At 33.7% G+C, this 23,355-nt stretch overlaps 1 protein-coding gene across 2 annotated transcripts in view; it reads right to left on the reverse strand.

Annotated features, from left to right (window-relative positions):
- ASPM (assembly factor for spindle microtubules) overlaps nt 1–23,355 on the reverse strand; it is a 62,543-nt gene that overhangs the window by 2,031 nt on the left and 37,157 nt on the right. Inside the window, exons 18-27 of one of the 2 annotated variants that reach the window (NM_018136.5) lie at nt 14,274–19,028; nt 9,841–10,007; nt 7,927–8,023; nt 6,895–7,104; nt 5,750–5,899; nt 4,693–4,884; nt 4,039–4,231; nt 3,773–3,927; nt 2,099–2,275; nt 646–815 (exon numbers count right to left, since the gene is read on the reverse strand). In NM_018136.5, coding sequence (NP_060606.3) covers nt 646–815; nt 2,099–2,275; nt 3,773–3,927; nt 4,039–4,231; nt 4,693–4,884; nt 5,750–5,899; nt 6,895–7,104; nt 7,927–8,023; nt 9,841–10,007; nt 14,274–19,028 — 6,266 coding nt within the window. The remainder of the gene's footprint in view (nt 1–645; nt 816–2,098; nt 2,276–3,772; nt 3,928–4,038; nt 4,232–4,692; nt 4,885–5,749; nt 5,900–6,894; nt 7,105–7,926; nt 8,024–9,840; nt 10,008–14,273; nt 19,029–23,355) is intronic. The other variant, NM_001206846.2, reaches the window with a different exon arrangement.

A 23,355-nucleotide genomic window follows, 5' to 3' on the forward strand; every position in this document is an offset into this window, starting at 1 on the left:
CAGGTCAAGAAATAGTGTGTTGTCAATAATGTAGGATTTGTACCTAGTATAGAGAATTGCTAAGTCTCAAGAAGGAAAGAAGGAAGGAAGGGAGGGAGAGAGGGAGAAGGGGGAAGAAAAAAAGGAGGAGGGAGAAAGAAGGAAGGGAGTAAAAACACTAATTAAATGCCATGACGGTTCACCAAAATAAATTAAATCTTTTTGCCAATAAAATCAGAAAATGTCAATCTAAATTTCCAGAAGGAGAAATTTCAAGAATCAGGGTGATTATGGGAGGACTGGAGGTTGATATTTTGGCTAAGAAGGACTTTTGGCACTTCTTAAACAGTGTAGTTTGTCTTTCATGCAAAATAAAATAAATAAAATAAAATGACAAAACTTATAACAAGCTTCTTAGCCTTAGCTCTTAACTATTTAATATAAGAAGTTTGTTGAATAACTATTAAATGTCCAAAGCTACAGTATAATGTTATTTCTTTATTTACCAAGACTGCTTCTTTTAAATTTACCAAACATTCCATTCTTATTCATATGTTGTTTCTCCACTGAAAAGCACATCTTGTTTATGGTAAGTGCTCAATAAATATTTGTTAAATGAATGAATGAACAGTGACACAAATTTATGGACTATATTTAATTGCTTACCTTGAAACTATTCTGGTCCTTACAGGTGTTTCTGGGATAAAAGGAATGCTTATAGAAGAATTCTTCTTTTGCTTGTAAAGTATTCTTTCAGTATTCATTTTATGTTTATGAGCTGTAAGTTTGTAGAGACTGTAAATACGGTCAACAACTTTGGACCTACTTCGTACATCCTACAAAATAAAATGCACAGTTACTAAAAAGTAATAAGAATTAAAATTTTATCTCTTTTAGACTAGCAAAATCAAATATAATAAAAACTATGCAGTAAACCTTTTTTTTTTCTTTTTTGAGATGGTCTCTCTTGCTCTGTCGCCCAGGCTGAAGTGCAGTGGTGCGATCTTAGCTCAATGCAATCTCTGCCTCCCGGGTTCACGCCATTCTCCTGCCTCAGTCTCCCAAGTAGCTGGGATTACAGGCACCCGCCACCACACCCGGCTAATTTTTTTTGTATTTTTAGTAGAGATGGAGTTTCACCGTGTGAGCCAGGATGGTCTCAATCTCCTGACCTCGTGATCTGCCTACCTCAGCCTCCCAAAGTGCTGGGATTACAGGCGTGAGCCACCGTGCCCAGCCTGCAGTAAACTTTTAAGCTTTGAATAATCAAAGAAACCTCACCAAGTTTGGCAGGTAGATTGATTTAAATTACGAGCTAATTTGCAAGGCAATTATAAGGAAGATAAATATTCAAAAGTTGCATACTTAACTCCACACTGAATATAAGAAGGAATTATTATAGTCAACATAGCAATTATAGTCAACACACCTATCATATCCAGTTACCAAGTCTTGAAAAGTTTACCTCTGCAGTTTCCAAAGTCTTCTACTTACCTCTCAGCGACACAATCCTAAGACAAGCACAATCTCTTGCCTAGATCACTACATATCAACACTTGCCACCTTCTTTGATGGTCTCACTATATCCACACATGCTCTCCCAAATTCATTCTTCAATCAGAAGCCAGAGTGTTGTTAAAATTTAAATTGGAAAATATTATTCCCTTGCTTTACCCTGCAGCGGTTCCCACTTACCAGGATAAAGGCCACAGTCCAATTATGGCCTATGGTTTCCCCATGTTAATTATGACACTTAAAAAGAATGACTCAGAGGTCTCATCGTAGAAAAGCTTGAAATACAATTATGGTTACAACAGGAGGATAAGAAGTTATACCTATCTGGTTTTCTATCTTGCTAGGATACTTTTCTCTCTAGTAAATGGGAAATGGTTACTTATATGGCTGTAATAAATTTATTTTCAGAATTCAGTTTCTTTAATAGTCAGAAAGAAACAACTCATAGATACATCCTGAATTCATTTTATCCGTGCAAAAAGCAGGTTTGAACACACATAAAACCCTATTTTAGAGTGATAATTACTAAAGGAAAACTATAAAAGTCATAGACTTAAGACCACAGAAAAATAATCTTAAAGAAAGGCAACTGACTAATACTTACAGAGGCTCTATTTGTTGTCTTCAGTAAAATAGCCAACAAACAACAAGTTTTTGTAAAAATGCTTCCGCCTTTGTCTGCAACTTTATTACCAGGCTTTTCTCGGTATATCTGCAAAAGCTCCAATAGTATATCTATACAATTTTCTACATCATAAACTGCTGAAGTAGTTTTCTCATACTTGAAGAGAACAGAATGAAATTAAAAGTTGTAATAAACACATACATTTACAAACAACCCAACCAAAAAAACAAAATACAAAAGTCCATACTTAGTATAGCCAAATTTTTGGACCACCTGCAGCAAGTGCAAAGGACTTTGTGAAATAGCTTTGATATTATCATTATTTACGGATCTATCATATATGTGTATTCACATTTTAATCTTAATCTTTTCCCCCTAATTCTAAAGTTTCACATAAAATAAATCAAATTTAAAACCTCTGAAAACAAACATCTTGAAGTCAATAAAAGCAAACTTTTAAAGATAAGACCACTTTAGTAAGAATCTCTAAGGAAAAAGATAACTTATCTGTGGTATTATTAATCATAGGTAAGATAATGATAAAGGCAGGATCTAATTAGTTACTCTATTACATGCTCCTTGAGAGGAAGAAGAGCTTGCTCGAAAATAAAACAAAATACATATGATGCTAGTAAGTCTAGGATATATTTTCCACGCCTCATTTTTCTAATTGTATTATTAGATTCATAGTGAAATTTGCATGGTAACAAATAATGATACTAAGATAAAAATAACAAAACAACATAGCTGACCCTTTGTATGGCATGTTTATGTATTAATGTGTATTAACTCAATGTGTATAGTAACAGTTTTGAGTACTGTTACTATACTCATTTTATAGTTGCAGAAAGTAAAGTACAGAGAAGCTAAGTAACCTATAATAAGCTACTGAGCTGGGATTCAAACTCAAGCAGTTTGGCCTCAGATCTGTGTTCTTAACCACTACCTCTCAAAATAAAAATATTGGGTAAAGCGCTTTAAGTTGTCACTGAAAGGTTGAGTAGGAAAGAGAAATCTTTCAACCTTTGGTTGCATACAATATAGTTTGGAATAGTCCAAGGCCAAAAGACAAATTCTGATACACAGATTAACAATTACAGAGTAACTAAGTTATAGCAATATTTTTCTTTCACACACTTTGCTAGACATGATTATAATGTGGTAATACTATTTTGATATAATGCAGTAGATAACATCACCACCTCTAAAGGCAGACAGAAATGAATCCAAATTCAACTCTACCACTTATCACACTCAGGTTCTTACAGGAGGAACCTAATTTCTATAATTATTATTATTTTTTCTCTATAAAATGGGAATAATAATATGAACTACTTTAGAGGATTATTATGAGGATTAAACAATGCATGAAAAATACTAGCATGTAGTAAGTACTTAATAACTTTTAATCATCATTGTTTTTAATATTATTAATCATCATTGTTTTTAATATTATAAAGACTGAGGAAATAATATAAAAATTGGTACTTAAATCTACATTTATGTTAATAAACATTTTTTCATCCTAAGACTCTTGCACATAAATGAATTTAACTTAGAGATTTAAGCCCTAGTGATGAGTAAACCCAAACTTAATTTGCAGGGGCATATTTGTTGACCAGTGAATATCTCATTAATAAAATGAAAAACTACCTTAGATACATTAAGCAAGACTTGCACAGCATATCTGATGACTTCCATACAAGGAATACTGCGATTACAACTTCGGATCAAAACAAATATTTTAGAAATTGCTCCACTCTGGGCCATGTTCTCACAACAAAGTGGAGACAATCTAGTAACTACCTCTGAAAGAAAAAAAAAACACACACACACAGGTAAATTTACAGCAACAAAATGAAGTTTTAGCTAATAATGTAGTATTACATCATTCTTTAAACATGTTAACACAAACTAACCTAGGTGTTTTAAGGCCTCAAGAATGGCAGAAAGGTGCTTATATGTCAAAAGGTAATGAAGTGCAAGTGCAGTTCTTTTGTAGAGTTTGTTTTCTTCTCGAATCTCCCTATTAACAACTTGAAGACTTAGTCGTATAGCTTTAATTTTTGTACAATCATTTTTCTTCCTCCAAGAATAGCCTCTCCATAATGCCTTAAAGAGATAAAACAGAGTAATTTTAAGATTATAGCCAATGTTTTCTATTTATATCTACATCTGTTTTCACAATGTAAACATTTTCAGTAAATTTATTTGACATGATCACATACATTTCAATTAAAATCTCAAGTTCAAATAAATAGCAAAATCAACTTTCAAAAAAAGAAATACAGATAATATTCCTATATGTAAACTGGACAGCATTTATCGACCAAAGATGTCTAAATTTATTCAAAATGTTAAAATATTTTTACTTCTTGATTATAAACCTCCTCTAGAGCATTTGAAAATAAAGAGCTTAGCAATGAAATTATGGTAGTATAGTGCTTATGAGTTATTCTACCGGCTAATGCGTTAGCTTTTTAAAATGGTAACTATGTTTTTATAGTGTTAGATATCATGTAGATGAATTGCAAACTAAAGTTTTGAACTAAAACTATACAAGTTTCAATTACCTGAATTTTAATGATTCCACTAGTGAATTTTTCCTGCTTTTTACGGAGGAGAAAATGGCGCACTGCTTTCTGTATTACTGATGCAGCCCTATTTCGCTGGCTCAGACATTCTTGACCTTCATGCTCAATCTTTTTGATGCTATGATATTTCTGAATAAATCTCTTTTCTTGTAATCTTGCTCGAAACCATCTCTGTTTAAAACATAGAATTTTGTTTTTCATTTCTACTTCAGGTTTTTTTAAAAAAATATACAAATATACATTTATACATAAATGAAAGAAATAGAACAGTATATCAAGAAATCTTTCAGCTTTCCACAGAGGCATTACTTCCCCACTCCACTTGGTGCAAAAACCTTTCCAGTCCATGTTGGGTGCCTGTGTGTGTGTGTGTGTGCACACACATGCACAGGAGTATATTTAATCCTGGACAACAATGTCTTCATTTTACAATTCTACCAAACTGCATGTATCATTCTGCATTTTTTTTACTAAATACTTTATATGTAAATGTATGTTAATGTATATAAACAAATAGAATTCTTCTTCAAAATACATAAAGAACTCCTATAAATCATAACAAAAAAGAACAGCCAATGGAAAAACGGGCAAAGTGTATGAGAAAAAGATGTTAAAAAAAAGTACACAGATAAGAACTTGAATAACCAACATATAGAATATAATTTCAGAATCATTAGCCATCAAGTAAATCCAAAACAAAAATGAGATGCTATTTCCCATTCATTAGAATGGCAAAAATCAGAAAGTCTTCTGATACTTTATGTTGGCAAGCATGTAGAGAAACAGGGTACCCTCAAGACTTTGCTGGCAGGAATGTAAATGAGTACAATTACATCAGACAATAATTCACAACTTTAGTACTGTGCCATAAAACATCAATCTATTTCTAACCCTCAAATCATTGTAACAGCTATAAGGTGAAAGGCTAAATGTTGTACGACCTTAGCATAAAGCATTTGGAAATTGTTTATTACATATCAAAAATTTCTAACAGAAAAATTATATCATATAGTTTTACTGCAAAGAAGAAGCAAACCTGAATACAGATGACTGAATTAACCTGCTTGTTAGCATTCTTCACAGCCAGGTAAAGTTTATAGGCTCTTTGAATTCTAACAGCATTCAGGTGATAATATGCAGCTGCAGTGAAGTGAAGAAGTCGAATTTTGGCTCTCTGTTCTAAAAACTAAAGGTGAAAAAACAAAGCATATTCAAGTATCTGCCTCCTAAGTTAATCAATGAGTGTTTTTTTTTGTATAACCTCAACATCAAATTATATAAACTAGCAAGAATAAACTAATTTTTAATCATTACAATTACTTATATTGTAATTCAAAGTAATTACAATATTGTACTATACAATATTTCCAGTAGTGTAACTCATAACTCAGAGTGTAGAAAGCAAAATTATATTTTGGGTACTTTACTAAATAACCATAGCTTCTAATTCAACTAGACTGCCCTATTAGAGAAGGGTATAAATATTAAACTCAAAAAATGTTACAGAATTCCAAGCAGAACTCTTGGAAATGGTGATATTAAATCAGAAAAAGTATATGAATTAACTTCTCTACTATTAAATAGTACAGTGCAACTCCAGCATAAGACCCTGCAGAAGGAGCTTTCTACAGTTGCTGTTGGGCTTCAGACTTTCACTTGATGTTTAATAAACAAAATACAAACATTCCTCCTATTTAACTTCAAATCAAATTGTTTTGTCTATGCCAGTACTTCACATATTGTAAGCTTGAATATCATGACCTCCCTAAAAATAATTCTCTCTTGCTGAAGATGTGGAAGCTGTCACAGGAATGCTGGTTGCAACACCTCAAAAGTTGCTTGGTGGTGGCAAAAAGCTACTAGAATAACATTTAACCTCTTTCACATATGGAGCCTCTCTCTCATATTTTCAGTTCCTTTGTTAAGATTCATTACAAAAGAGAAATTTTATTTTGCGTCTTTGGTGGTGAACCCCTGTGAGAAATAGTAGGACTAGGTTCAGAGAAAAAAAATTTGACAGTCAGTGCTCTTGTCACTTACCTTTCTAGCAGCTGAATTAATTCAAGTTAATGGTCATATTAGTTCTGAAATTATTCTCTAAAATCCAAAGTTTCTTAACACTATTTAACATCAAGTGCTTTCATTTTATAAGAATGAGATATGCTACTTGAAAATACTTACTCTTTTTCGTACTAGCCAACCACGCACCAGTGCTTGTAGGATAACTGTAGATTTTTTAAATTCAATATATTTTATCCTTTCATGCTTTCCAGCCTCCCTGGCTCGTATATATTTTTGTATGATCAAAGCAGCAGATTTCTGCCGAAGAAAGACCTGCCTTCCTTTATATCCTCTATAATGTGCTTGGATCAAACAAGCAGCTCGATGTCTCTATAAGGAAAAATTTACAAGTAACATTAATGGGTAGAAAGAAAAAGATTTCCAACCCACTAGAAGTTCTTGAATTTCTCAATGAGATGGCATAATTATGATTTATAGTCTAAGAATGCCATGTTTCATAGATATGAAATGATGATGAAGCATTATTTCTAAACTCACATAGGTCTATAGCCAAGATGAAGGTGTAAGCCAAGGGTCAAGGGTCAATAGATACCTGGTGCTCTTTCCCTCTCATCCTCTTGATACTTTTCATTGTGAGAGGGAAAAGGACTAACATTACAGGACAAATACATTTAATAAAAATGCTAGCTACAATAGAAAGAGCACGGTGATCATAAATAGCTATGACAGAAGCTGTCTGTAGCTTGAAAAAACATAGCATACCACTAGCACACCTTAGATTCCTCAATTACGTAACAACCTGTGAGAATTACCAAAATGAGACAGAGCCACAAAGTGAGCACATGATGCTGGAAATATGGCACCAACAGACTTGCTCAACACAGGGTTGACAGAAACCTTTAATTTATAAAAAATGCAATATCTGCAAAGCACCATAAAGCGAAGTACAATAAAACAAGGTATGCCTGTACAGTTATATATTTTTAAAAACTAGCAAATAGTATTTTTATGGGAGAATATAATTTTTAATTGACTGAAATAGATGTGTGTGAAATAAATGCATACTTAGGTCTTAAAAACACTTTTTTTCCAGCGAAGGATTTATTTTTAAAAATTAAAAAATACAAAACATTCTTTGTTTTCTATTTCCTAAAGTAGTTATTTGCAAGTGAATTAATTTTTAATACCTACTTTTATCATTAAGAAGTGTTCATGAGCTATCTTTGCAGGAAGTATAGCTCTCCATTTTCTCTGAATGATAATTGCTGATGCTCTCACATTCAAAAACCTAAAAAGTAGTTATTGGAAAGCAATGTCAAATTACTTTAACTTATTCAATGAGTATTTATTGCCTCCCCCCCTTTAAAATATTAGAAGAGAATAAAATATAAGAAAGGCAATGACAGAATTTTAAAAAGTGGGCAAGTATAATTCATAGTTAAGTTCTAACAATCAGAATTTACACACGCACACGAAAGAAGTTTTACAATTGGCAATATTCCAGTGGGTAAGAAATATGAAGTTCTACGATTCTAATATGGCACAGAATTTTGAACAGGATCAAAATAAAGTATGGTTACCCAGATCTAGACAAAAACTAGATAAAGGGGGAATGGTAGAAATAATGGTAAAATATAAGATTTGAGTCTGCATGGCAAGTGAGTCTTTGAGCAGACGGGAGGTGGTTAAGAAGAGAATGTGATTACAAGCAGCATCAGGTACTTCCTTTCATTTGAAAGGAAAAATAGATATCATCAAAATATCTAAGTAGAGATATTTCGTAAACAGAACTGGAGAAAAATTTTAAAAAATCTGAGCACTAGAGATTAAATTTTAGGGATCAACATAATACTAAGAGATAAAATGTGAGAATGGACAGGTTTTCTACTCTGTTCTTGATAATGTGGAAAAAGTACAATGAGTAGCTTGTTTTGTTGCCATGTTTCTTAGAAAATAGGACCAAACACCATTGAGAAAAATTCAGCATCTGTTACAGGAAAATTAGATACTGGTCCTTAATAGCTGATAGTAGCAACTGTATCTTTATATGCTTTTTAATTTTTATTTTTATGGATATATAATAGTTGTAAATATTTACAGAGTACATGTGATATTTTGATTCAAGCACACAATGAGTAATGATCAAATCAGGGTAAATGGGATATCCATCACCTCGAACATTTATCATTTCCTTCTATTAGGAAACTTCTAATTCTATTCCTCTAGTTATTTTGAAATATACAATAAATTATTGTTAACTATAGTTGCCCTATTGTGCTACTAAACAGTAAATCTTATTCCTTCTCACTGTATTTTTGTACCCATTAACCAGCCTGTCGTTATCCACCCCTCCCCTCTCCCTATCCTAGCCTCTGGTAACCAACATTCTACTTCTATCTTCATGCGATCAACTGTATATGTTAAGCCCTGCTTCTACCCATGGGCTTCATCCAAAAATTCCTCTCACACTAGTGTGCCTTCCTAAACCATCTTTAAAACCATCATTGATTCAATAATTCATCAACTCTGGGAGCTGAAGAAAAATTCTTATACTATGAACTTAAAAAAAGATGATCTGGTAACAGCTTCTGAAAATGTGTGTGTGAGAAATAAGCTAGGAATAGTGAAATACAATTAGCATAGACAGGTTGGTAATTAGGGTCTTCATCATTAATGACAAAGAGTATGAGGAATAATACAAAGTTCAAAGAAAAAAAGAATGAGTAAGAAAACAAATTTTGCCAGTAGTTAAGTCACCCAGCAAAATGGCCCAAAGCACTAATAAGAAAACCAAGTCTTAACTAAATGATTTTATTCACTTCCTACGTCTCTGTCCTTACTCTAATCCTTATGAACCTGAATTAATCAAGTATATAATATTTTTAGATTATATTAATTAAAGGCTATGCTCTATCTCAAAAAAGCAAGACAGTACGAGAGATGTATTTTGTTTCCTTAATAAAGAAAATATCAACAAAACCAACCATATAAATTAAGCATAACAAATATTTAAAATAAAAATCAATAAGCAGTGTTATTTTATGTAAAGACTTAGCTATCACACACAAATACTTTTACACTCTCCACAGAACTATGATACATTACCGTGTTCTCTCTAGTTTGGTATAGAAGCAACCTTGAATAATTTTAACAGCTTTTAATATAGCTAGATATTCTTTGTGTGCTCTCCAACATCTATACCAGGCTTGAATCTTGCAGGCAGCTTTCACTTTACATAAATATTTCTTGGCTCTATATCTCCTCCACATAGCCTATTAAATACATAAATATAACAAGTATGCAATGAGTTGTCTCTTTTTTTTTGTAAATAAGACAAATCAGTATAAAGACAGTTAAAATAAGGTTAGTGCAGACAAAAATAAATTGCATAGTCATATCATGACTCTTTTAGACTTTGACATGTAATGAGTCTTCTGAGAACAGTGGTGCTTACTATAGTGAACACGTATTATGTGCTTTATCACACATACCTTATGGCTGGCTGCCAGCCCAGCCTAACAAAACCCTAACCAGTATTTATAAATTGTAAGACACACATGTCTGAAAAGCCCCACATTATGTAAATTATCCTCATCACCTCAATCCATTTGGAAGAAAAGAAAATGAACACATTGACCTACTGCAGGTTCTGGGGAGAAAGAGGAATTCTTCCCAATCCATATTCACTTTGGGTTCTGTGTTCAGCCTGCAGGAGAATCCTGAGAGCTCCTGTGATAGGACTGTCAGACTTTCTGATTTTGACAACCTTCTGGAAGACTAAAGGTTTACATGACAGCTACAACTTATTGAACTAAGCACTAAGAAGATTAGTCCTTAATAATCACATGGGTAGATAATACTATTATCTCTAATTTAGAGATGAGGAAATCAAGGCCTAGAGAAATTGAGTAACTTGTTGATGTCACACAGGTTAATAAGTGGCAGAGTTGTCTTACTTAATATTTATAAATATCTTATAAAATGGTTAAGATCTCTGTTTTATAAAAAAGGAAAAAAATCCAAAATTGAAATTAAGAAGGACTTGTTAGCATATAGCTGTTAAGTGACAGAGTCAAGATTTGAACCCAAGTCTATTTGACTCCAACATCCCTACAGGAAGAGGAATTAAAAGAAATTAAAGACTGTGTAAGCAAAAACTCAGTTGTATGTAAGAAAACCCAATTCCCCTTGGGAAGAGAAAGGGCTGGAGTCCTTTAAAATTAACTGTGTTTTTCTCTCTGTGGCTAGTGAGCCTTATCTCTCCCTTTCCCAGGCATTGTGAAGACTGTTTCTCTAGCTGTGCAGCTGCAAGGACACTAGACAGATAATCTCAAGTTGTAAAACATGTTGTTCCTTAAAAAGTAAGAAATAATGTAATGCATCTCTTACTTGAATAACTGTCTTTGTTTCTCTCTTCTGTAATACGCTTCCCCCTGCACAGATCTCCCCATGCCCCACGAAATGCTTAAAAGGTAGCTTGACTCTTTGTTCAGGGCTCAGTCCTCTTTGGATGTTAATCCGACTGGGTCGGTGCACATAAATAATTAAATAATTCCTCCTCAAATCCCTCGGTCTCTCTGATTCCTTAATTATCCCGCAGCACAACAAATACTATAGGCACAACGTATATTTAGATTAGGTTCTAAATTCAGTTGATAATGCAATAATTATATATGGCCAAAATTACTCTGAGATGACCTTAACTCATTCAGACTATATTGTATACGGTTTTTATGTAAATCTGCATACATTATTTATGTATATCCCCAATACCTGCCACCTCAGTCTTAATCAGTGGTAGAAGAATGGTCTCAGAACTGTTTGTTTCAATTGGCCATTTAACTGTAACAGTAAAAGACTGGTTAATGGTAACACTGCATCATAAAACCTTCAGGAGGAAAGGAGAATGTTTTGTGGACCATTTTGGTGTTTTTGTTTTTGTTTTGCTTGTGGCAGTTATAAGTTACTAGTTTTTAAAATCAGTACTTTTTAATGAAAACAAATTGACCGAAAATCTGTCACAGAATTTTGAGACCCATTAAAACAAAGTTTTAATGAGAAAATTATATATATGTATAGATATACGTGTGTGTATATATATATTTACAAATATATATATATATACACACACACACATCACACCTGAAGAACATCAAAATTTACAGACATTGACAAGAGAAGCCAACATAGCGTTAAGAGGGAAAGAAGACAGCTAAGAGATTATGGTATCAAGAAACCAAGGGTTGAGAGAAGAAACAAAGTGTGCTTAAATCCCAAATGCTACAGAGAAGTTGATATATATATATATATAAAACATACATATTTACATATATATGTAAGTATTTAGTAATGTATACTATATCCCAGTGGCTCCCAAACTTCGCTGCTCATTAGAGTCACCTGGGAGCTTTGAAACAAATCCCACGCTTGTGTTGCTTCCCATACCAATTAGAATATCTAAAGGTAGGAGTATGTTTTAAAATTCCAGGTGACTCCAATATGCAGTAAAGTTTTAGACCACTGGCATAGGCTAAAAATTATATGTGTAAAATACAATTTTATTATGTAATTATGTAAGAGAAAAAAATTTTTATAAGATTGTTATTTTGGCTATTTAATCATTTTAAGTGAATAAAACCATAACTAATACATCCAATGAACACCTTTCAATTGTGAACTTCTCAGTAGTGTTAGGAATTTGATACCATAATCTCTTACCTTTCTTCTTTCCCTCTTAACACCTTGGTTTCTTGATACCATTAATCTCTTACCTTTCTTCTTTCCCTCTTAACACCTTGTTGGCTTCTCTTGTCAATGTCTGTGAATTTTGATGTTCTTCAGGGCTCAAGTCCCAGGCCCTCTTTGTTCACTCATTTTATGTATTGTTCCTTGGTGATCTCATTATTCCCAGAACTTTAATTATTAGCATATGCCCATAATGTACAAATCAAATTCTAATACTCACACTACTCTCCTGAACTCCAGACAAACATAGTCAACTGCCTTACTAGATATTTCAAGGGGGTTACCTGCTAGGTACTTCAGATCTTATATACTCCAAACTGAATTCATCATCAATCTCAAAACCTGCTCTTCCCTCTTTATTCCCTATGTCAGGGTGTGAGGGAGTAACTCTGCTGAGTTACTTAAGCCATCAACATGGCTTGCCTCCTTGTTCATGCTCTATATAATGCCAACTTACAATCCCATTGTCACAAACCTACACTGAACTATAACTCTTTCTCACCTGGCTTACTGCCTATTTTCATTTGGTCTACCTGATTCTAGTCTTGCTCCTTTTCCAGTCCATCTTCCACATTCCTGCCAGAGTAATTTTTTTTTTTTTTTTAATAAAAATGACTGTGGTCTTCTCCTGCTTAAACTCCTCTAGAATTTGTTTTGTCTGGAGCATAAAGACTAAATTTTTTCTGTCTTAAAAATCTATCCACAATCTTACTCCCTCTATTGCCAACCTGGTCCCATATCACTTTTTATTGTTTCTAGTTTTTTGATTTTTCCACGTTATCTCTTGCAATTGGAATATTCTTCTATACCTTTTACTGGGCTATTTCTAATTCATACTTCAGTGTAACATTTCAACTTAAATGTTACTCACTCTGGGAAGTCTCTGACCATGGAGACTAGCTTGATTTCCCATTCTGTGTTTCCTGAAACATACACTTCTCATGTTGTATTATAATTATACTTCCTTGTTCAATTAAGTTCCTTGAGGACAGCAACTAAGTATATCTTACTCATTGTCTATTTATAACACCCACTACAGCATTTGGCACATTTCTAGCACTTGACATTTCTTGAATTAAAACATTATTTCTAAATTTAACAGTAATCCAGTAAGATATGAACATATCACATCTGGGTTAAAGCCTGGGTTATTGCAGGTAAAAAGAAATAGCTGAAGTACTTAGATTCAGTTCCTGGATCTGCCTCTCTCTATGCAACATTGGCCAAATTACTTAAACTTTATCACTTCCTTCATATTTTAAAAGAGATAATACTGTACATTCCTCACACATTTGGCAAATAGACAAAACAAAATAATACAAAATTGATTTGGAAGCCAAAGTACTAAACACTCAGAATAAAGTATGTCTACTAGCCTAAGCAGCAAACAGCTCTGGTTAATAGATTATTAGAGGAACAAAGTTACTCTATTTTGCCTATATTATGCCAAATAATACTTTATCTTAGCTTATATTTTCCACTTAAAGAAATAACTTTGCCAAATACAGGACTCCTATTTTCTCAAAATTCTTCTAAGAGTGCTACAATTAACCCATACTGAAATGCACCACACATAGGGTGACCATGGCCAGAACAATCCCCGTTCTGTGCTGTCTTGGCTGACTTACTAGTGCCCTTTCCCTCTTTCAAAAATGTTCCACTTTGGAAGATAAATGGTCACCTCAACTAAGTACTATTCTTTATGACCTGCTTAAGCTCATTTTATACATTCTAACAAATATTGGTCAAAAGAAAGACTCACAGTTTTATATTTAAATTAAATATAGAAATACCTGAATTTTTATGGTGCTATTTTTAATTTCCTGAAACTTCCGTTTCTGTATAAATCCTTTACTTCTAGCTTGAATAATGATAACACTGCTTCTGATCTGTAAATAGACTTGTCTTTGATGTTTTGCAGACAGAAATGCTCTGTAGTGATTTTGTAAAACCACTGCTGCTTTTCTATATAGTAAAAACTGTTTTCTGGTTTGCCACGTCCTAAAATAATGCTGTAAAGTGATAGCAGCTCTTTTCTGCTGAACAAATCTTCTCCGATACACAGCCATCTGAAGGAAGAACTGAATCCGTAGGGCAGCACATTTCTGTGTTTCCAGTTTTCTTGTGACCATTCTACAAAAAGCTTTTTGAATTGTTACTGCAGCCCTACTTTGAGAATGATACTCTGCTTCCTGTGAACAAGCAAGGCCAGAAGCTTTATACCACTCTTGAATCATAACACCTTCACTTTGAACAGCTTCATACTGAGTTTTACTTCTGTAACAGCAGAGTGCAGATTGGTTAACAATGGCTGCCATCTTTTCCTCTGATACATTTTTCAATTTTTGTCTAACTTTCATGCCTCTAAAAGCAGCCTGAATAGTTCGTACAGATTTCTGAACTGCTAAAAAGTTTTTTCTTTCTGTTTTTACTCTAACATACAACCTATAATAATTCTGTATAACCACAATTGCAGTTTTCTTTGTTTCATAATCAACTTTGGCCCTGTGCATTCGATAGAATGACTGAATTAGTGTGGCAGCCCGGTGCATATTTTGAATATCCTTTCGTACTTTAAAGCCTCTGTAATAAGACTGTATACAAATAACTGCTTGGGTACGCACTGCAGTTAGTTTTCTGTATCTTCTTTGAATAGAAACTACTGTTGCTCTAAGGTGGAGATAATGCTTCCTTATTTTAAAGGCTTTACAATGCTTCTGAATAATAATGGCAGCCTGGTGCTGTTCCTGAATCTGTTTTTTTATGTTCATGTCCTGAAAACCTGCCTGAACACAAGTCTCTTTCTTAAGTTCATTGTGTTGAAATACTTTCTGTTTCTTTTTATTTGCTCTATATTTTTCTTGTATGATTTTTGTAGCCCACTGAAGCTTTTGGTAGAAACAATACTGCCTATACATTCTGTAGGTGCTTTGTATTACGATAGAAGCTTTGTGTTTTTCCCTTAAAAGTTGTCTTGCTTTCATTCCTTTATATGCAGCCTGAATAACCACAGCAGAATGCCATTGTCTGATATAATTTTCTCTTTGTAATTTTGCAGCTCTATATGTTCGATAATGTTGCTGAATTAGAATTGAAGCATGTTTCCAAGTCTGAAATGTAATATATGTTCTGTACATCCTGAAAGTAGCCTGAATGAGAACTGCAGCCCTTTGCATTTCTTGTAACTTCTTCTTTACCATCAGTCTTCTGTAAGATGACTGTATTGTAATGGCTGCCTTTCTTAAGTGCAAGAATTGGTACAATTTATGTTTGGCACAAATGGTGGCTCGATATTTCCTCTGAACAAAAATAGTAGCTTTTTTGAGGGAAATGAATCTTCTCCTCACCAGTAATGATCTAAACCTACTCTGAATAAGGGTTGCAGAGGAATGCATACTCTTCAAATGTCTTCTAGTTTTCATACCCCTGAATGCAGCCTGAAGGATCACAGCAGAGTGTCTTTGTCTGAGATAATGCTGCCTCTGCAGTTTTGCAGCTCTATTTGCTTGGTATTGCTGTTGGATCACAACGGAGGCCTGTTTCAAAGCCTGATATCTCATATGTAATCTGTGCATTCTGAAAGTAGACTGGATGAAAGTAGCAGCCCTGTGCATCTCTCGCATCCTTTTCCTTATCATCCATCTTCTGTATGATGACTGGATTTTAATAACTGCATTTTGTACCTGAAGGAACTGTAAGTGATGCTTTGTACAAAGATGTGCCCGATATTTTCTCTGAATCAAAATAGCAGTTTTCTTGAGAGAGAGGAATCTTCTTCTCATCATTAGAGTTCTAAATCTCCTCTGAATGAGAGTTGCGGCTATATGCATCATTTTTAAATGTCTTCTAGCTTTCTTTCCCCTAAAAATAGCCTGAATGTATATTACAGAATGCCTCAGTTTGTTATACCTTTGAAATTGTATGTTTCTTTCTTTCATTGCCCAGTATCTTTGCTGTACTGTTTTTGTTATTTTCTTTAACTTATTAAAGTATGTTTGCTGTCTGTATCTTCTGTAGTTTGACTGAATGAGTGTTGCTGCAGTCTGCATCTTTCTAAGAGTCCGTCTAACTCTTACTCCTCTAAAACTTGCCTGAAGGACTTTAACAGCTTTCAAAATTGTCAGGTACTTTTCACGCTGCATTTTACCTTGATAATATGCTCTACATCTTACTTGAATAACAATAGCTGCTTTTCTCATTGTATGGTAACTTATTCTTGACTGATGCATTTTAAACATGGCTTTAATAAAAGTGGCTGCCCTGTGCATGTGTTGAATATGTCTTCTAACTCTAATACCTCTATAAACAGATTGGATTTTAATTGCTGTCTTCTTCAAATTAAGATACTCCTTATGCTGATGGTTTGTAATTTTAATACCTCGATACCATCTCTGAATTATAATAGCTGAAGCTCTATAGGTTGCATATTTCTTTTTGGTTTTGTAAGCTCTGTATTTAGACTGTATAGTGACTGCTGCTTTGTTGCAATCCTTTATTCTTTTTCTCACTTTCATACCACGATAAGCTGACTGTAAAGTTACTACAGCTGCTTTTGTTTTCAAATATAAATGATTCTGTTCTCTTCCAATACTGTAAGCCCTATAATACTTTTGAATCAGAAGAGCAGCTTTTTTCATGATTTTCCACTTCTTTTGTTGCACATGCATTCTATAGTATGACTGTATGATGATAGCACATTTATGTTGCCTTTGAAGCTGTCTTCTCAGTGTTTTTCCCTTCCACATAGATTGAAGCACCAGTACCGCATGACGGAGTTCAATATACTCCATACATTGCTTCCTTCCTGCAGTCCATGCTCTGAAATTTTGCTGGATGACTAATGCTGCTGTTTTAAACAATCTAAACTGTTTCTGGGCCTTGGCCATTCTAAAAGCAGACTGAATCTTCAAGGCAGCTTGATGTTCCCTTCTAATCTGTTTCCGAACCTTCCAGCCACGATAAGCAGACTGGAGGGAAATCACAGCTGCCTTTGTCTTCAAAAAATGTGTTCTTGTATCATGAAGAGTCTTGTACGCCCTGTACCATCTCTGAATCTTTATTATAGATTGAAGCACAGATTGATATTTTACCCTTTTATTATAGCCTCTAAAAGCAGACTGAATTTTAAGAGCAGCTATAGATTGTTGTTTGATTAGCTGGCGTACTTTATAACCTCTGTAAGCTGCTTGCAAGCAAGTAGCTGCTTTTTTGACTTGCAAGAAGTTCTTCCTCTGATTGACCTGTGCTTTGTATGCATGATAGTAATTCTGAATGACAATAATTGCTTTATACATTTTCAGATAATACTGCCGAGCCTTTCTCATTCTGAAATAAGACTGTAGTGAAATAACAGCTTTTCTTTGTAACCTCATCTGCTTTCGGACAAGGTATCCTCTAACAAATGCTTGCAGTTTGATACAAGATTCCCGCATCTGCATATACTCTTCTCTCTTTTGTGCAGCTATTTTTTTGGAACGGTAACATTGCTGGATAAATAGTGCAGCTGCTCTTAAATGCAAATATTGTTTACGTGTTTGTTTCATCTTAACAGTTGACTGCAATTTTATTGTAGCATTTTTTAGGCTCAAAAATTCCTTTTTAGAAACATAAGCACGATAATATGATTGAATCTTTATAACAGATGTGAGGATGTGAATATACATTTTCCTGGCTTGCATCCCTCTATATGCAGACTGCAGCACAATGACAGCAGAGCGTGTTTTCTGGTAAGATGCTAGAACTTTCATGGCAAAAATATAAGCTCGGAAATGAGTCTGAATTATAACAGCTGCTTTCTTCATCTTCTTATATTTCTGTCGTTGTTGATGTTTTCTTACATGTGCCTGAAATTTGATAATAGTCTTCTTAAGGTTTAAAAATCGAACTCTGTCTTGTCTCATTCTCCAGTATGACTGAATAACACAAGCAGCTCTAATTTGTCTACATAAATTATGAGCTTTCAGTCTCCTAAAAGCAGCTTGTAATTGAATGGCTGCAGCTCGTTTCTGCAAATAGTTGGTGCGCTCAATCTTTCCTTTCAGATATGCTTTGTAGTACTTCTGGATGGTTAGTATGGACTCTTTTCTTCTTTTATATAACTTTTGGGCTTGAAAGCACCGAAATCTTTTCTGAATGATAACAACACAAGATCTAATATAAATATATTTCCGTAATTCTTTATGCATTCTATACCATGATTGTATGATAATAGCAGAATTTTCTTCTTTAGCTTGTTTTCTTAAATGCCATTCTCTAAAAGCTCTTTGCAATATTACTGTAGCTTTTACTTGTGATTGCATTTTACGTTGCTTCCATTTTCTGAACATAGATTGGATTATAAGAGTTGATGATTTTAGCATTTCATATCTTTGTTGATCTTGTTTTCTTCTTAAATAAGCACGCCAATGCCTCTGAATTGTAACTGTAGCCCAAAGATATCGTTTATAAGATGTAACAGCAATTATCATTCTTATCCTAGATTGCAGGATGATTGAATAATATTTCAATTTCAGAAATCTTTGTCTAGTGGAATATCTTCTCCAATATCCCTGGAAAAGGTAAGAAAGGACACAAAGTAAAATAGGCATAGCTTTCTATATTTAACACTTTTCAAAATACTAATTTTTCTAACATTCTGCTTAAAAATAAACACATTGAATTAGAAAACTAATTATTTTTGTGAGATATTTGTCTCTTTTGTTTTTAGTTTAGGTTTTACATTGATATACCTGTAGCCAATTCAGAAATCCATCCAAATCTTCATTATATTTAAATACTGCATTTGTATGCCAGAATCATAAGAAACATAAGCAAGTTTATGTTATATTACAAGCAAAAGAGTCAAAATAAAACTATAGTAATATTCTTTGCTATCTATTGATTCTAAGTAATTTCCTATGAGTTTATTTCTGGGCCTTATATGGTCCCCTTACTTCAATGTTTCTAAGCTACCTTATAATGACTAGAAACTGTTTATGTGAAGGATCCTGCATTATCACATTACAGGCCTGATAATATAAATATAGGAATTTAGGAATAAATAAACCAGATCACTCTCAGAGTCATTATTTTCATTAAGAATAAAATTACTTCCTTTTCCCAAATTTAGGAACTATAAATACATGGCTTAAAAGTAGAATTCTAGAAAGACTTGAGAAATGACAAAACTTTTGTCTTTTGAAAAGCCATGGTTACAATGGCTAATCCAACTGTATGTTGGCTCAACAAAAAGAGCTACAAACTCTCAAGCTAATTCCAGTTGCTGGTATCTAAAATGGTCCCAGGCTAATGGTAGTCAAGTTCTAGATGTTTTAGCAATAAGACCATTCCTTTGTACAAACACTCCAAACATTGCTGAGATTGGGGGTGGCATGGAGAGGTTGTTCTCTACTACATCTTACTTTTTCTCGCATATAAGTAGAGTAATATAGGGACTGGGTACCTCGCTCTCCTATAGCAGTATCGAGTTTGCTTGCAGCTATCACTGGCCTAAGCATACCTATCCATGGGTGAGGAAGCTTAAGGAGAACATGCACATCCCTTTTCCTGACCCTTTTCCTGTAAGTTTTATTGTCTTCTTCCTCTACTAAATGTTACCTGAGGTTTTGTTCATACTCTTCAACCTGACAGGAAATGATTGTATACATTTTATCTTACCAAGAAGAGATGCACAAGTTGTCAAAATATTTATCCAACAACAGTCAAACTTATTTGTACAAAAGTATTTTGAAAACAATAAACTCTACATAAAGTATTAACTTGCTTTAAATTAGGGCAAAGTAAAGCAGTAATAGTACTCAGAAATTCAGATATTATTTTTCTTTTGAGCACCCACCCCCAACAGATATTTCTATGTAAAATCCTCAAACTAAGAAATTGAAGAATCAGTGTGTACAGATTGTTTTATACTTTAATAATCACTTTTTCTACATTACTATTACTACTCCATTACTGAAATGTTAATCAATGTTGATATATAACATGGAAGATATGATCATCTCCTCTCCTAACAGTTTTGCTTATTACAATAGCAATTTTTTCACCATTGTCATACAATTCTTAAAAATAAATAGCTTTTACTAAGGAACACATTACATACAATTTTCTCACTTAATTCTCACAAAAATACATTAAGTTGGCATTGTTTCTTCACTTAAAGAAAGGAACACTAATGTTACAAAACTTTTTGCAAAGTCCCACAGCAAATAAAAATAATTGATCTTAGGATCTACATTATTACACCAAAATCAAATGTTCTTTCTACTCTACCACAGATATCTGCAGCAGGTTGAGTGCATTAACAGCCCAATTCTTCATCTCTCCCAGTAACTATAACCTGTGCCATACTTTGTTTTTCCTCATACAAAAGAGTTTCTCTGCTTGAGATATGGGCGCAGTCATGGAAAGAATGCAGTAGAGCAGTGTAACTCAATCTTCAGTTTTCTGGTCAGATGATGAAACAAGGCAGCCCTGAGGAACTAGAGGGTACCAGGGAGATGGTAGAGACTGGGGAGCTCAGGGAAGCAATCTGATAATGTTGTTTATGAATTTCTAGGTTCACCACCAAGTTGTGCACAATGTGAATCTAGACCACAGTAGGCTATAGACTTTAAGAATTGAATAAGATACAGATCACAATCTAGATCCCAGACTGGCTACTGGGTGTTACATAATGAAACTGATATGATACAAATATCACTCACTGTAAAGGCTTTCAAAAAGGAACTGTCACTGAAGCTACGCTCATGGAAGGCTGATGAGAACAGGTGGCCTGAACCCAATCAAGTGAATTAGCTGCTAAAACTAAAATATCAACATTCTCCATAGGATTTAAACAAAACATAGAGTCTGATAACATAACATTAAATTTCCAGAATGCAATTAAAAATTATTTGACATACAACATAACAGAAAAATTTCAACTCTCACAAGAAAAGATAATCAATAGACACCAATGATGAGATGACAAAGATACTGGAATTGGAATTAACTGACAACGACTTTAGAGCAGATAAAGTAAAAATGCTACAACAAGTTGAAACTAATGGAAAGATAAAAAGTCTCAGTAAAGACATCAAAGATATGAGTAAGAACCAAGTGAGAATAGTAGAACCGAAAAACACACTAACCAAAATAAAAATTCACTGGTATGGCACAATAGCAGAATGGAGATGACAGCCAAGATGGCAAATATCTCAGCTTTGTGGGCCAATTCTGTTGCAACAAGTCAATTATGCTATTGTAGTACAAAAGCAGCTCCCAAATAATACATAAACAAATAGTTGTGACCATATTCTAAAAAACTCTATTTATAAAAACACATGGTAGGCCAAATTTGGCCTGCAGATATACCAACCTCTGACCATGATAGACCATATTGTGGATCATAAACTAAAGGTTATCAAATAGGAAAGAATTGAAATCACAGTATGTGCTCTGGTCATAATGGAATTGAAGAAAAAGTCACTAACAGAAAAATAATAGGAAAATCTCCAAACATTTAGAAAGTAAATAACATATTCTGAAACTTTAAATCATAGAAAAAGCCTCAAGAGAAATTAAAAACTATTTGAACTGAATGAAAAAAAAATACCATATCAAAATTTGTAGTATGTGGCTAAACCTGTATTTAGAAGAAAATTTATACCATTAATGTGTTACATTAAAAGTGGAAGGACTCAAATCAGTTACTCAAGATTATACTTAAAGAAACTATAGACAGAAAAGCAAAATTAATCAAAACAAGAAATAATAAAGACTGAGCAGAGACCAATGAAGCCAAAGGGTTGTCCACTGAAAAGATCAAGAGAGTTAAAACTCTAGCAAGACTGACAAAGAAGAAAAGAGAAGATACAAATTATCAATATCAGGAATGAAAAAGGGAATATCACTACAGACTACCCAGGCATCAAAAGGATATTAAAGATATACTTTGTATATACATATGGTAAATTCAACAACTTGGATGAAATGGACCAATTCTTCGAAAATTAGAAACTGCCAAAACTCATCAAAGATAAATAGTCCTATACAAATTTAAAAAACAGAATCTGGCAAGGTGTAGTAGCTCACACCTGTATTCCTAGCACTTTAGGAGGCCAAGGCAGGAGGATGACTAGAGCCCAGGAGTTCGAGACCAGCCTGGGGAATTTAGTGAGACCCTATCTCCACAAAAAATACAAAAATTAGTTGAGTGTGGTGGTACATGCCTGTAGTCTCAGCTACTTGGGAGGCTGAGGTGGGATGATGGCTTGAGCCTAGGAGATTGAGGCTGCAGTGAGCTGTGTTTGCACCACTGTACTCTAGCCTGGGCGACAGAGCAAGACCCTGTCTCCAAAAAAAAAAAAAAAAAAAAAAGTCCAGAGAAGAATGTTTGAGATGATGAATATGCTAATTGTCCTAATGTGATCGCTATACAGTATATGTATCAAAACATCACTATGTGCTTTATGAATATGCACAATTATGTCAAGTAAAAAAAGAGGAAAAAAATAAAATAAAATAGAAATTTCCACTCTAAGATAGTATCACTGGTGAGTTGTATAAAATAATTAAAGACAAAATAATAACATGTCAACAATCTCTTCCAGAAAACATAAAAGAACGCTGAAACTTCCCAACTCATTACACAGATGCAAAACTCTTCAATAAAATACTAGCAAGTGGAATTAATGAAATATCAATGCATATAAAAAATACATAACTAATATTTGAATTTTATCCTTGGAATGTAAGTTTACAGTAAGATTAGAAACCCAATAAATGTTAATATATCCATTGAAGCAGAAAAAGTATTTAATGAAACCCAAATCTATGTGATAAAACTCTCAGTAAGCTAAGAAACAGAGACTCCTTCAACCTGATAAAGGGCATCTA

The sequence above is a fragment of the Homo sapiens genome, chromosome 1 (assembly GCF_000001405.40).
Source record: "Homo sapiens chromosome 1, GRCh38.p14 Primary Assembly".
Classification (NCBI taxonomy): domain Eukaryota; kingdom Metazoa; phylum Chordata; class Mammalia; order Primates; family Hominidae; genus Homo; species Homo sapiens.